Source organism: Homo sapiens, chromosome 1 (genome assembly GCF_000001405.40).
Source record: "Homo sapiens chromosome 1, GRCh38.p14 Primary Assembly".
Taxonomy (NCBI): domain Eukaryota; kingdom Metazoa; phylum Chordata; class Mammalia; order Primates; family Hominidae; genus Homo; species Homo sapiens.
Window position 1 is genome coordinate 52,028,279 of NC_000001.11, and position 14,556 is coordinate 52,042,834.

The 14,556-nt window shown below is 43.4% G+C and overlaps 2 protein-coding genes across 4 annotated transcripts in view, besides 1 other annotated feature; both read right to left on the minus strand.

Annotated features, from left to right (window-relative positions):
- TXNDC12 (thioredoxin domain containing 12) overlaps positions 1-14,556 on the minus strand; it is a 36,041-nt gene that overhangs the window by 8,148 nt on the left and 13,337 nt on the right. Inside the window, exons 2-3 of one of the 3 annotated variants that reach the window (NM_015913.4) lie at positions 13,259-13,319; positions 300-352 (exon numbers count right to left, since the gene is read on the minus strand). In NM_015913.4, the coding sequence (NP_056997.1) occupies positions 300-352; positions 13,259-13,319 (114 nt within the window). Of the gene's footprint in view, positions 1-299; positions 353-3,818; positions 5,774-13,258; positions 13,320-14,556 lie in introns of those variants that run through there. The other 2 variants (NR_046406.1, NR_046405.1) reach the window with 2 other exon arrangements.
- KTI12 (KTI12 chromatin associated homolog) lies at positions 3,825-5,532 on the minus strand. The gene has a single exon (NM_138417.3). The coding sequence runs from the start codon at positions 5,481-5,483 to the stop codon at positions 4,419-4,421; it is 1,065 nt and encodes a 354-aa protein (NP_612426.1). The 5' UTR covers positions 5,484-5,532; the 3' UTR covers positions 3,825-4,418.
- Positions 5,239-5,538: an enhancer, noted in NCBI's record as "active region_1030". NCBI's record gives its function as "activates an Ori minimal core promoter by ATAC-STARR-seq in GM12878 lymphoblastoid cells {active_cell/tissue: GM12878}" and the evidence as "EXISTENCE:reporter gene assay evidence [ECO:0000049][PMID:35858748]".

Sequence of the window (14,556 nt, forward strand, 5' to 3'; positions counted from 1 at the left end):
CTTCCTTCTCATGTCTCTGTCCGTACATTTCAGCTTCCTCTAACATGTATTGTTCATTTGACATTTTAGCACTTAATCCCATACGTGACATAACTGTATCTTAATCACCTTAACTTCCCTAAAATCCCCTCCAAATATAATTGCAAATTTCATGAAGGCAGGAAATCTATGTCATATGTTTCTTTAGTATTCCTTAAACAGTCAGTAGTGCTGGGCCAGAGTCAGTGCCAATATTTGTTAAATGTTAATATTTAACAACACATCTGAGTTTTGAATTTAGATTGAGCATTTGCACTTACCTTTGCAAGCTCCACACCAGGATTTATGAATAATCACCATCAGGGGCAGTCCACTTAAAAGCAAAACAAAGAAATTATAATCTAGTAATTCTACTTCTTGAAATTTAATGATAAAGATTAATATGTGAAGACATTTCTGTAGTATTATTTCAATTGGGAAAATCTTTAGACAAATGTTCAATAATAATAGATAATTGCTGTAACAAAATTATTGTTAAGTTCTAACACTTCTGTAAATTCTGCAAACTTGGGCTTTAAAGTTAGGGAGGGCTGGGCACAGTGGCTCATGTCTGTAATCCCAGCACTTTGGGAGGCTGAAGTGGGCAGATGACTTGAGGCCACGGATTCAAGACCAGCCTGGCCAACATAACAAAACCCTGTCTCCACTAAAAATACAAAAATTAGCTGGGCGTGGTGGCACGTGCCTGTAGTCCCAGCTACTGGGGTGGCTGAAATATGAGAATTGCTTAAGCCTGGGAGGCAGAGGTTGCAGTGAGCTGAGACCGCACCACTACACTCCAGCCTGGCCGACAGAACAGACTCTGTCTCAAAGCAAACAAAATGTTACAGTATTTCTAAATGATTATTGTTATATAATCATTGAAAATAATTTTTCATTGGTAGCTTATATAAAAAACTAGGATACAAATGTATCTATAGTCTGGTTTTAATTATAAAATATGTACAGAGAAAAGAGCCTAAAAGAAAATGTACCAAAACATAATAATAGCAGTTTTCTGTGGATGATGGGACTGTGGATGTTTTCCTTACACTACATCTGTATTTCATGATTTTTCTACAATATAATTTTCATAATCAGGGAGGAAACTGTTCACAATGAGCAATGCAATCCACCCGAACCAGACTGGCTAGAGGAAGCTCTTAAGCTCTCAAGGCTCAAATGACAGTAGGAAGACCCCATGTAAGTAGGTAGCCATTAGCTTTCTCCATCACACAACCCCATGTCACCATAACAACATACACTGTATAATAGCTACCATGCACTTAACATATTGATCTGTACCTATTATTTACCCATCTCCCTCCACTGGACTTGGAGATTCCTAAGACAAGGAACTCTTAGCTGTCTCTATATCCTTTACATCTGACACATATATTATTGATAGCAAACACTTATATACCATTTGCCATGTGCCAGGCACTACTGTAAATATACATAAATTAACTCATTTAATAAGTGTCAAATGAATCATTCAGTCACCTCACCTTAGGCCTACCTCACATCTGGATGGACTTCTGCCTGCAATACTTGTAAAAGCTTGTAAACCAAATGAGCAGGGCAAGTTTAGGTGGGTAGTAGGATATAGGTAACCATAATAGCCAAAATGTGCTGAACGTTTATTATATGACATTGTGCTGTATATGCATTATCTCATTTAAATCCTCAAAATAACCCTAGGGTAGATACTATTAATGGTCTCACAATAGAAATGAGAAAATTGAGATGCTCAATAGAGTAAATATTTGGCCCCATAAAATCTAGGTTCTAGGCCGGGCACAGTGGCTCACACCTGTAATCTCAGCACTTTGGGAGGCCGAGGCTGGAGGATCACTTGAGCTCACAAGTCCAAGACCAGCCAGGGCAACATGGTGAAAACCTGTCTCTACAAAAAAATACAAAACTTAGCCGGTCGTGGGGTGCATGCCTGTAGTCCCAGCTACTCACAGCACTTCACTCCAGCCTGGGAGACAGCCAGACCTTGTCTCAAAAATAAATAAATAAAAAAAAATAAAAACCCAAAACAAAAACCTAGGTTCTGCCACTTACTAGCTAACTCAGAAGTCCGACTCCAAAACCAATGTTCTTTCTGACGGTTACAGTCTACTTCAATTTAGAATGGTAATCCAGAATCCATGGTTAGACCCAATTCAATCAATAACCAACTTAATGAAGGTTGGAAAAAGCCTTTTGAGTTTGCCTCATCCAGACTTCCATTTCACACATGAATCCTGTTTATCAGAAACAAAAGGTAGTATAGATTACCTGATGAGCAAGGAATATACCATCAACCAAGGCAGCCCATCTACCCTCTCTTTTAACAGCTCCATAGTTTCAGAGCATGCATGTTTTCGAATGTCTTGCTTTCTCTTTTCTCCCTGGCAAACATCTGTTTATCCTTCTAGAGCAGGGGTTGGCAAACTAGGGTCTGCAGGCCAAATCCAGCCCACCGTCTGCTTCCGTAGGGCCCATGATATGCAAATATTTTGTTGTATATTTTTACATTTTTCAATGTTTGCAAAGCAAATCTAAAGACTCCTTTGTGATATGTTAAAATTAATTGTAATTCACATTTCAGTGTAGTTTTATTAAAATACATTCATGCTTATTTGTTTACTTACCATCTATAAGTAGCAACAGCATTTGATGGTCCACAAAGCCTAAAACATTTACCATTTGGCCCTTTACTGACTTTATTCTACAGTGATGGTTCAAATGTTAACTCCTCTTAAAACCTTTCCAAAACCACCTCCCCCAACAGCTAGTTAGTCCTCTTCACCAGGTTTCCAAAGCATTTTGTCTTTTGTCATCATCCTCTGACCACCAGCCCATTTCATCCTATCTTTTTTTTTTTTTTTTTGAGATGGAGTCTCCTTCTGTCACCTAGGCTGGAGTGCAGTGGCGCGATCTCGGCTCACTGCAACCTCCGCCTCCCGGGTTCAAGCGATTCTCCTGCCTCAGCCTCCTGAGTAGCTGGGATTACAGGCACGTGCCACCACGCCCGGCTAATTTTTGTATTTTTAGTAGAGATGGGGTTTCACCATGTTGGTCAGGCTGGTCTTGAACACCTGACCTTGTGATCCACCCGCCTTGGGCTCCTGAAGTGCTGGGGTTACAGGCATGAGCCACCGCACCCAGCCTAATTCTATCTTTTACTTGTATTTCTCACCACATATCTCTTTTTGTTTGTTTTTCAAGACCCAGTTTCACTGCTGCCCAGGCTGGAGTGCAGTGGTGCGATCTCAGCTCACTGCAACCTCCACCTCCCAGGTTCAAGCGATTCTCGTGCCTCAGCCTCCAGAGTAGCTGGGATTACAGGCACACCATCACGCCCAACTAATTTTTGTACTGTTAATAGAGACGAGGTTTTGCCACGTTGGCCAGGCTGGTCTCGAACTCCTGACCTCGATTTTGGACTCCCAAAGTGCTGGGATTACAAGTATGAGCCACCACACCCGGCTTCTCACCACATATCTCAAGAGCAAAAACACTGTATCTAATTGGTCTTTGAAAATCACAGCCACTGTTAAAGTAGGTACCTACCATTTGTTCAATGAAATCAATGAAGAATGAAAGACAAGCTTACAATGATATTTGCCTTGAAATGCAGAATGAAGCAAAACAGTTACGGAAATTGTCATAATATAATTACTGTAGAGTAGCTCAAAACATCTACTCTCTCAGAACTATCAAAATACTACTTCACTTAAAGGCAGAACAATGACAAGTATACCTAAAATGTTACATGAAGTTACACAGGGAACATTAAGTGAAAGAGATTCCAGTAGACTATTTTAAAAGATTTTATTAGAGGAAATAATCTAGTAGATAACTTTCTTACTTCCACAAAAACAAAGTTTCTCAAGGATACAAACCAATGGATTTATCTGTGAACTCGGTCCCAGAATAGAAACTAGCAAAAAGTCAGTACAGTACTCAAAAAATACTTTTGTGGTATGAAAAAAGGGCAGGTGCAGATGTAGAACTGTACCATCTTCAGTTTCTGTTCACAATTGTTTTAAAACAATTCTCATCTATCCAGTCTGCTCTCCCACGCCTCAGATGAGGGAAGCCAATGGTCAATGCTCTGTGATAGCCCAAGTAGGATCCAATCTAGGTAATCCCTGTCCACCTTAGCTCTGTCCTCTGAGGGATTTGCCAGGTTGCACCACAATAGTTCTCCATTCTCTTTAGTCTGAACTTATGCTGTAAACCCAAGGCCTGGCACAGGGGTATGCAGGAAAGTTTGAGTGAATCAGTCACAACAGCTCTAGTACAGTACTGCATCGATATGCTCTGGAGACCTGCAGCCTATTTTTCCCAGAGAAATAAAGTGGAGTGGAGATCAGAAGCCATGGCTTCCCCCCTACCTCCTCTGGTCAGTGCAGGCTCTGGCTCAAATACTGAAGAAACATGTTGGCCAGTTGCGGCAAGTTCTCATTGTTGGGATGCATTTTAGTGTACGAAATAAACTGGCGACGAAGGCGACTCAGTTCTGCCATGGTCAAGGGCCGGGTAAACCGCAAGTGCTCTGTGGTACCAGGAAGCGTGAGCAAGTCCCCGGGGACAGCGCTCTTCTGCGCTTCCATCAATCCGGCCAGTACTTGACTCGTGACCTGGTCCAACTGGTGCAGAAAGCTGCCGGAGGCGAGGGGCTGGGACTGCGTAGACTGATGGGGTGGTGGGGCCCGGTTCTCAAACAGGGCAGAGCGGATCCCCGCCAGGGGCAACGGCTCCTCTAGGCCCACCAAAGTGAATAAAGGCCGGTCCCAGCGATTCCGAGAATCGGGAGCCTCAAAGCGCAGCGTTAGGGCCTCCAGGAGTTCGGGAGAGTAAAAGGCACCGGACCCATGCTTTGCAGATTTCTCTGAATCCGGAGTCACAAGAGCTGGAGACTCCGCAGCCCCGGATTCTTCTCGCTCCAGTTCCTTGGGTACGTCGGCCTGGGCACTTCCATTTACTACAGAGTCCGCAGTATGCAGTTCCCTGAGGACGCTGCTGCCCGCCGCCTGGGCTCTCCCGTCCTCCTCAGCGCGTGGCCGCCAACTCACACTGACGTTCCGGCCAGGGTTCTCGTTCGCGCCCGCCACCTGAGGTCCCGCGATCGGGCCGCCGGGCCGTACGCAGTAGACCAGGCAGAGCGGGGTGCGCGCCGCCCGTGCCAGGCAGTAGAGCTCGTAACGGAAACCTTTGATGTAGTTAAGCGAGTCCAGGATGACCACGTCGTGGCGACTCAGGCGCCGTTCCACGGAGGCTCGCAGAGCTCCACGCAATGCCTTCTCACGGGCAGAATCGCCGTACACCGCTGGGTCCTCTGCGCCCAGGACAGCTGCGTCGTCCACCACGTACACCGCGCGGCCCTCGGCAGCCAGCGCCACGCGCAACTCTTCAGCACGCCGGCTCTTGCCGCTGTACGGCAGCCCGCAAAACACCACGAGCGGCATCCTCTCAGGGAGCGACCATTGGCAACCGCGCTGCGCCAACTTCCGGGTTGTACGCGTCTCCGACGTAAGCCGGAAGTGCAAACTGCTCTTCCTGTCTCCCTTGACTTTTACAGACCCTCTTGTTTCTATGGAAACAGGAGTTCTACGCCAGCTAGGCCCAGGTTCAGCTTTCTCAGAAAGGAGATACAGAGACTATAATGGCATCAGTTATTTATGCCAAATGTTATAGGCCTCAGGAGAATGTGATCTTCCTGCAGCGAAAGACTGCCCGTCCATTTTATTAATAAGGCCTAAGGGGCATTAAATATTGTAAGCAATCAGCACTATATTTAGCATATAGAAGGCAATTAATAAATGCTGGTTCTCCTTCATTCCTCCTCTTAAACCTACTGGCTCTCAGTAAATGTTTATTCAATTACCATTTCAATCATTCAACATCTCCAAGGTTGGGAATTCAGAGATGAACATAAAACGCTTTCCCCACAAAAGATAAAAGGTCTGAATGGGAAGGATCAGGCGCCTACAATCAGAGTAATAAATACTATAATGGATAGATGCAGGTGAGGTTATAAAAGAACAGAAGGGAAAAACAAACTACCCAGAGAAATCACTGAAGACTTTATGTAGAAATAGTCATTTGACTTAGAACTTGAAAGACAAATAGGAATTTTTCTCCTTAGTAGGGTTGCCAGATAAAATACAGGATGCCCAGTTACATTTGAATTTCAGATAAACACCAAAAACATTTTTAAGCTTAAGTGTGTCCCAAATATTGCATAGACATATTTAAAATTATTTGGTGCTTATCTAAACTTCAAATTTAACTGGGCATCTTTAATTTATTATTATTATTTATTTTTTCTTTTTTAGAGATGAGGTTGTATGTTGCTAAGGCTGGTCTCAAACTCCTGGGCTCAAGTAATTGTGCCACCTCTGCCTCCCAAAGTACTGGGAATACAGGTGTGTGAGCCAAGGTGCCTGGCCTGCATCCTTTATTTTATTTTATTATTATTATTTTTTGAGATGGAGCCTCGCTCTGTCACCCAGCCTGGACCACAGTGGTATGATCTCAGCTCCCTGCAACCTCCACCTCCTGAGTTCAAGCGATTCTCCTGTCTCAGCCTCCCAAGTAGCTGGGACTATGGGTGTGCGCCACCATATCTGGCTAATTTTTGTATTTTTAGTAGAGACGGGGTTTCACTATGTTGGCCAGGCTGGTCTCAAACTCCTGACCCCAGGTGATCCACTGGCCTTGGCTTCCCAAAGTGCTGGGGTTAAAGGCATGAGCCACTGTGCCTGGCCATCCGTTATTTTTATTTGCTCAATCTGGCAACTCTATTATTGTAGGTTTGAGACCCAGAGCCATGAAACTGTTGGATCTCTTGTATAAACAGCAAGCACTATAGGATGGTAGGTGCAGAAATGTGAGTGTGCCTGTGCATGTGTGTATATTGTAGATGCACATATACTGGGGTCTTTGTATCTCTCTTGTACAGTATAGTAAAAAACATTCAAGTCTTGGCTCCTCCACTTACTAGTGTTGTAACTACTGGCAAATTATGTAACTTTTCTGTACTTCAATTTCCCCTTCTATAAAATAACAACTGCTATTTCACAGGTTTACCAATCTGTAGGTTGTTGTGAGGGTTAAATAAATGTAAACACAGGCCCGGCATGGTGGCTCGCGCCTGTAATCCCAGCACTTTGGGAGGCAGAGGGTAGATCACCTGAGGTCAGGAGCTCGAGACCAGTCTGGCCAACATGGTGAAACCCTGTCTCTACTAAAAATACTTTTTAAAAAATTAGTCGGGTGGGGTAGCGTGTGCCTGTAATCCCATTACTGAGGAGGCTGAGGCAGGAGAATTGCTTGAACCCGGGATGCGGAGGTTGCAGTGAGCCTAGATCGCACCACTGCACTCCAGCCTGGGCAATAAGAGCGAAACTCTGTCTCAAACAAAAAAAAAGTAAACACAGACCAGTGCTTAGCTTTCCCTCCCCTGCCCTGCCTTTTCCTCCTCCTTATGCACTGAATTGTCTGTGCATAAACTAAACCTACTTGAGACTTTACAGACTATTCAACTTGATTCTAGCAGGCAGTATGGTATACAGGTTTAAAGAGCAGGCTCTGAAGCCAGAGTGCTTGGGTCTGCCACTTGCTAGCTGTGTGCTCTTGGGCAAGTTATTTTAGTAAACTTAGAAAAAACGGTGCCTTACTTTTTTCATCTCTAAAATTAAGATAACAATAATACCAATCTCAAAAAGTTGTTGTGAGAGTTAAATGAGTTGATTTGCATAATTTAATGCCTAATGCACAGTAGCACTTAGTACAGCTGACCCTTGAACAACCCCAGGATGAGGGGCACTGACCCCTGACACCATCAAAAATCAGCATATACCTTTTGACTCCCTAAAACTTAACTATTAATAGCCTACTGTTGACTGGAAGCCTTACTAATAATATATTCAGTTAACACATATTTTGAATGTAATATTATATATTGTATTCTTACAATAAAGTAAACTAGAGAAAAGAAAATGTTATTAAGAAAATCTTTCCAGGAAGCAGGGGGGCAAAAAAGAAGAAAAAGAAAATCATAAAGAAGCAAAAATATATTTAGTATTCATTAAGTGGAAATGGATACTCATAAAGGTCTTCATCCTTGTCTTCACACTGAGTAGGCTGAGGAGGAGGAGGAAGAGGAAGAGGAGAGGTTGGTCTTGCTGTCTCAGGATGGCAGAGGCAGAAGAGGGTGGAAGGGGAGGTAGAACAGGCAGGCACACTTGGTGTAACTTTATGGAAATATAATTTCTGTCTGATTTTGTTGCTTTTTCATTTCTCTAAAAATGTTTCTATACAATACCAATCTTTTTTCTTTGCTTTAGTTTCAGGGCACATATCTTAGAAGGGTCCATGTTGTAAAATAAGTCAAAAGCAGCTCTAAATAATTAGAACCTTCTGCCAGATCTGTTTTCTGGCACTGCCTCTTCTACGTGTTTTTCCTCATCATCTGGCACTCATCTCCATCAAGTTATCTTCTGTTCATTCCTCTGGTTTGGTGTCTATTAGCTCTTGAATTTATCCAAGATCATATCTTAAAACCCTTTACCCCTCACCTTTTTTTGCCATATCCACAATCTCTTTCATGATTTTGATTATCTGTCATAAACCCTGTGAAGTCTTGTGTACATCTGGACACAGTTTTATCCAGCAGGAATTTATTGTTTCAGGCTTGATGGTCTTCACAGCTATTTCTATAACGACAATGGCATCTTCAACGATATAATCCTCCTAAACTTTCATGATGTTCTCTTTATTGCAGTTCTCTTCCATAGCTTTGACAATCTGTTTTCTAGAGAGTACTGTGTGTAATGAACCTTAAAGGTCCTTATCACCCCCTGATGTAGTAGCTGATTTAAATATTGTGTTTGGAGGCAAATAGACCACCTTTTTTTTTTTTTTTTTTTTTTGAGACAGAATTTCACTCTTGTTGCCTAGGCTGGAATGCAATGGCACGATCTCAGCTCACTGCAACCTCCACCTCCCAGGTTCAAGCAATTCTCCTGCCTCAGCCTCCTGATTAGCTGGGATTACAGGCATGTGCCACCACGCCCGGCGAATTTTGTATTTTTAGTAGAGACTGGGTTTCTCCGTGTTGGTCAGGCTGGTCTGGAACTCCCAACTTCAGGTGATCCCCCGACCTCGGCCTCCCAAGTGCTGGGATTACAGGCATGAGCCACTGGGCCCAGCCGCAAATAGACTTTTTAATTTGCCTTTGGTGCTGAACTCATGGGGCTCTGGGTGGCCAGAGTATTGTCCAACATCAAAAGAACTTTAAAAGGTAGTCTCTTACTGGCAAGGTACTTCCTGACTTCAGGGACAAAGCATTGATGGAACCAATCCAGAAAAAGGGTTCTTGTTGTCTAAGCCTTCTTATTGCACAACCTAAACACTGGCAGCTGGTGTTTATCTTTGCTCTTCGAGGCTGGAGGTTAACAGCTTTATAGACAAGGGCAGTTCTGATGACAAACTTGACTCAAACTCCTGGGCTCTGGTAATCGTCCCACCTCTGCCTCCCAAAGTGCTGGGTTTTTTTGCACAAAAGAGTAGAGTTAGCCTGTCTCTTCTTGCCTTCAATGTTGGTACTTGCTTCTCTTCCTATTTTTTTTTTTCCTTTTTAAAAACTGAAATAGGGTCTTATTCTGTTGCCCAGGCTACAGTTCAGTGGTGCACTCATGGCTAACTGCAGCCTCAATCTTCCAGGCTCAAGCAATCCTCCCACCTCAGACTCCTGAGTAGCAGGAACAACAGGTGTGTGCCACCACACCCAGCTAATTTTTGTACTTTTTGTAGAGACAGAGTTTCCCATGTTGCCCAGGTTGGTCTTCCTTACTATTAATGTCCTTTGTGGCTTTTTTTTTCCAGAGTAGGGTACCTTAATCTGCATTAAACACCTGTTCAGGCAGATATCCTTTCTCTTCAATGATTTTCTTAACGGTGTCTGAGAATTCATCTGCTGCCTCTTGGTCAGCATAAGCTGCTTCTCCTGTATCTTGTTTTTTTTTTTTTTGAGACAGGGTCTCACTCTGTCACCCAGGCTGGAGTGCAGTGGGGGGATCTCGGCTCATGCAACCTCCGCCTCCCAGGCTCAAGCGATTCTCCTGCCTCAGCCTCCCAAGTAGCTGGGATTATAGGCATGGACCACTACCACCTAGCTAGTTTTTGTATTTTTTGTAGAGACGGGGTTTCACCATGTTGGCCAGGCTGGTCATAAACTCTTGACCTCAAATGATCCACCCGCCTTGGACTGCCAAAGTGCTGGGATTACGGGCAACACTGCGCCCAGCCTGTCTTGACATTTTTTAAGCCAAACCTCTTTCTAAAATCAGCAAACCATCATTTGTTGTCATTAAATACTCCAGCTTTAGATCCTTCACCTTCTTTTTGCTTTAAGTTGCCATATAATGACTTTGCTTTTTCTCAAATCATATTAGAGTCAATAGGTATGCCTTTTTATAGTACCCATGTAAAAGCTACATATTATGCACATAAAAAGGCATTTGGCAAAAAGTGCAAGGTTTTTGCACCTGTTGGCATAGCTACAGTGACAACTTCATGAATTTTCTTTTTTTTTTCTTTTTCTGTTTTTTTTTTTTTTTTACGCAATTGGTCCTTACGCTGGATTTATCTTTAAAAAAATTTTTTTTTGTAGAGACAGGGTCTTACTTTGTTGCCCAGGCTGGTCTCAATCTACTGGGCTCAATCAGTCCTCCTGCCTCAGACTCTCAAAATGGATTCATCTGGCCAGGCCAGAGCAAGACACCGTCTCAAAAAAAAAAAAAAAAAAAAGGGTTCATTTATCTTGAAACGACAAGCAACTACCTGTGTAGACCTCAGTCTACAGTACATATCAAGCAATTCAATTTTTTCTTGTAATGTCATGAGCATTCTCTGCTTCTTGGGAACACTTCCAGCATCACCAATGGCACCTTGTATGGGTTTCATGGTGTTATTCTAGGTTTATGATATTGTACTAAATACCAGGAAAAATATGCAAGAGTTGTAAGAGATTAATTTTTTTTTTTTTGAGACCAAGTCTCGCTCTGTCTCCCAGGCTGGAGTGCAATGGCGTGATCTTGGCTTACTGCAACTCCGTCTCCCAGGTTCAAGCGATTCTCCTGCCTCAGCCTCCCAAGTAGCTGGGATTACAGGCATGCGCCCACCATGCCCAGCTAAGTTTTTTGTATTTTTAGTAGAGACAGGGTTTCACCATGTTGGCTAGGCTGGTCTCGAACTCCTGACCTCAAGTGATCCACCCACCTCGGCCTCCTAAAGTGCTGGGATTACAGGTGTGAGCCACCGCGCCCAGCTGAGAAACTACGTTATACTGCGATACGCAATACACTGGAGAGACGTACTGCTCACTGAAGATGATTAATGTTGCACGGCATTTTAAGTGGATACTCACAATACTTGAGTTCACCTCCATAGCAACAGGAGGTGGCCACAAAATTATTAGTAATGTTATATACTACAGTTAATTTTTATGCAGTTATGATTTAATATGGCATCTTTACATTTGTTTACATTTCTCCCTTCTGCAAATGGCAGCATGTGTGGTCTATAGGTGTTTGTGTGCAGAAGTTTTTTATTTTTTTATTTTTATTTTTATTTTTTATTTTTGTTTTTTAAGACAGAGTCTCGCTTTGTCTCCCAGGCTGGAGTACAGTGGTGCAATCTCAGCGCACTGCAACCTCCACCTCCCGGGTTCAAGTGATTCTCTTGCTTCAGCCTCCCCTAGTAGCTGAGACTACAGGTGCACACCACCATGCCCAGGTAATTTTTGTATTTTTAGTAGAGACGGGGTTTTACCATGTTGGCCAGGGTGGTCTTGAACTCCCGACCTCAGGTAATCTGCCCGCCTCAGCCTCCCAAAGTGCTGAGATTACAAGCGTGAGCCACCATGCCTGGCCAGAAGCTTTTTAGACAGGGTCTCACTCTGTTTCCAGGCTGCAGTACAGTGGCATGGTCTTAGCTCACTGCAGCCTCAAACTCCCAGGCTCAATTGATCCTCCCACCTCAGCCCCCTCAAGTAACTGGTATTTTTTGTAGAGAAGGGGTTTCACCATGTTGCCCAGATTGGTCTCAACCTCCTGGGCTCAAGTGATCTGCCCGCCTCAACCTACCAAAGTGCTGGGATTACAGGCATGAGCCACCGCACCCAGCCAGTGTGCAGAAGTTTTGATAAATTTTAACTTGTAGATTTCTGTATGTTTTATGGTAGTAAATGATAATATAGACTAATACCTACATATATTTTTACACTTGTAACATACCAATTTTTTAAGTTTTTTGATATTTCTAGGCTATGCTGTTCATCTGCAAGTTTTTTGAAACTGCTTGAAATCTCCAAAACAGTTTCCAATGCATTTATTACTGAAAAAAATCCACATATAAGTGGACCTGTGCAGTTCAAACCCATGTTGTTTGGCCGGGCGTGGTGGCTCACATCTGTAATCCCAGCACTTTGGGAGGCCGAGGCAGGTGGATCGCCTGAGGTTGGGAGCTCAAGACCAGCCTGGCCAACATGGTGAAACCCCGTCTCTACTAAAAACTACAAAAATTAGCCGGCAATGGTGGCACATGCCTGTAATCTCAGCTACGTGGGAGGCTGAGGCTTGACAAGAATTGCTTGAACCTGGGAGGTGGAGGTTGCAATGAATGAAGATCGCACCACTGCACTCCCGCCTGGGTGACAAAGCAAGACTCTGTCTCAAAAAAGAAAAAAAAAGGCCGGGCGCGGTGGCTCACGCCTGTAATCCCAGCACTTTGGGAGGCCGAGGCGGGTGGATCATGAGATCAGGAGATTGAGACCATCCTGGCTAACACGGTGAAACCCCGTCTCTACTAAAAATACAAAAAAATTAGCCAGGCGTGGTGGCGGGTGCCTGTAGTCCCAGCTACTCGGGAGGCTGAGGCAGGAGAATGGCGTGAGCCCAGGAGGTGGAGCTTGCAGTGAGCCGAGATCGTGCCACTGCACTCCAGCCTGGGCGAGAGAGTGAGACTCCATCTCAAAAAGAAAAAAAAAAAAAGAAAAAAAACCCATGTTGTTCAAGGCTCAACTATAAATGTTAGCCATTATTATTGCTGTTGTTGTAATTAGGCAACTATTCAGTTCTTGCTCTGCCTTGGTATAGCCCTTCACCTGAAATTAACGTTAAGTTGATAGCTGAAAAGTGTTTTACCACCATAAATGACCTAAAACCATGTCTTGTACCTGGCAGCTGCTTCTTTCTTCCCATCTTCCAGTGTCCTCCAATGAATATGATCTCCAAAACCTGGAAGGAAAGAACTTTATAAGCATTCACATAATGAACAAAGGGCACAGTCCCAAGAAGGAAGTGTGCATGTTCACAAGATACCCACTAAGAAGGTTTTCTTCTGTCAAGAGCTTGGTGTTCAAGTCCCAGCTCCACCACCTTCTAGGTGTATGGGACCATACCTCAAGCCTCAGTTTTCATACCTGCAAAATGGAGACACCACCACCTAATTCACAGTTTCAAAGGAGGCTAAATTTAAAAATGACGTTAAATGCTTTGTAAACTATCACGGAATATGCTAATAATACTGTAAGAATGAACGAGAATTTCCCACAGAGTAAACATAAAGCAGGTCATAACAAATCATAACCAATTGAAGGTGATTCAGCAATACAGCTTTAGATTCAGAAAGACCTAGGTCCATGACTCCACTTCCTATTACGTGTGTGAATTCTTGTGAGTGAAGTAAGCTCTCCAAGTCCCAATTTCTTTCTTATTTTCCTCCTTCATCTGTAAAAGCAAGACAATAAGACCTACCTCCAAGTGTTAGTATAAGGATTAAATGAAGTAAGTATTTAAAGCTATTGTTATTATTATTCCCACAATTCACCCAGAGTAATCTTCCTATTTTATTTTTTGAAACTCTTGAACATGTTTTGTAGAATAGCACAGAATGGTCTTTCTAAATCATGTTACTCCAGGAAAAAAACAAAAAACAAAAACAAAAAAACTTTCAAAGGCTTTCCAATGCCCTAAAGATAAAGGTCCAACTCTTGCAGTAGGGTTTACAAAGCCTTTCAGAATATGGCACCTGCCCACCTCTCCAGCCTCACTTTCCACATTTTTCCTAAAATCTTATATATACACCCTATACTATACTTTCACTTTTTTTTTTTTTTTTGAGATAGAGTCTCTCTGTCACCCAGGCTAGAATAAAGTGGTATGATCTTGGCTCACTGCAACCTCCACCTCCCAGGTTCAAGCGATTCTTTTGCCTCAGCCTCCTGAGTAGCTGGAATTACAAGCGCCTGCCACCACGACTGGCTAATTTTTTTTTTTGGAGATGGAGTTTTGCTCTTGTTGCCCAGGCTGGAGTGCAATGGCATGATCTCGGCTCACCGCAACCTCCACCTCCTGGGTTCAAGCGATTCTCCTGCCTCAGTCTCCCAAGTAGCTGGGATTACAGGCATGTGCCACCAAGCCTGGCTAATTCTGTATTTTTTGTAAAGACAGGGTTTCTCCATATTGGTCAGGC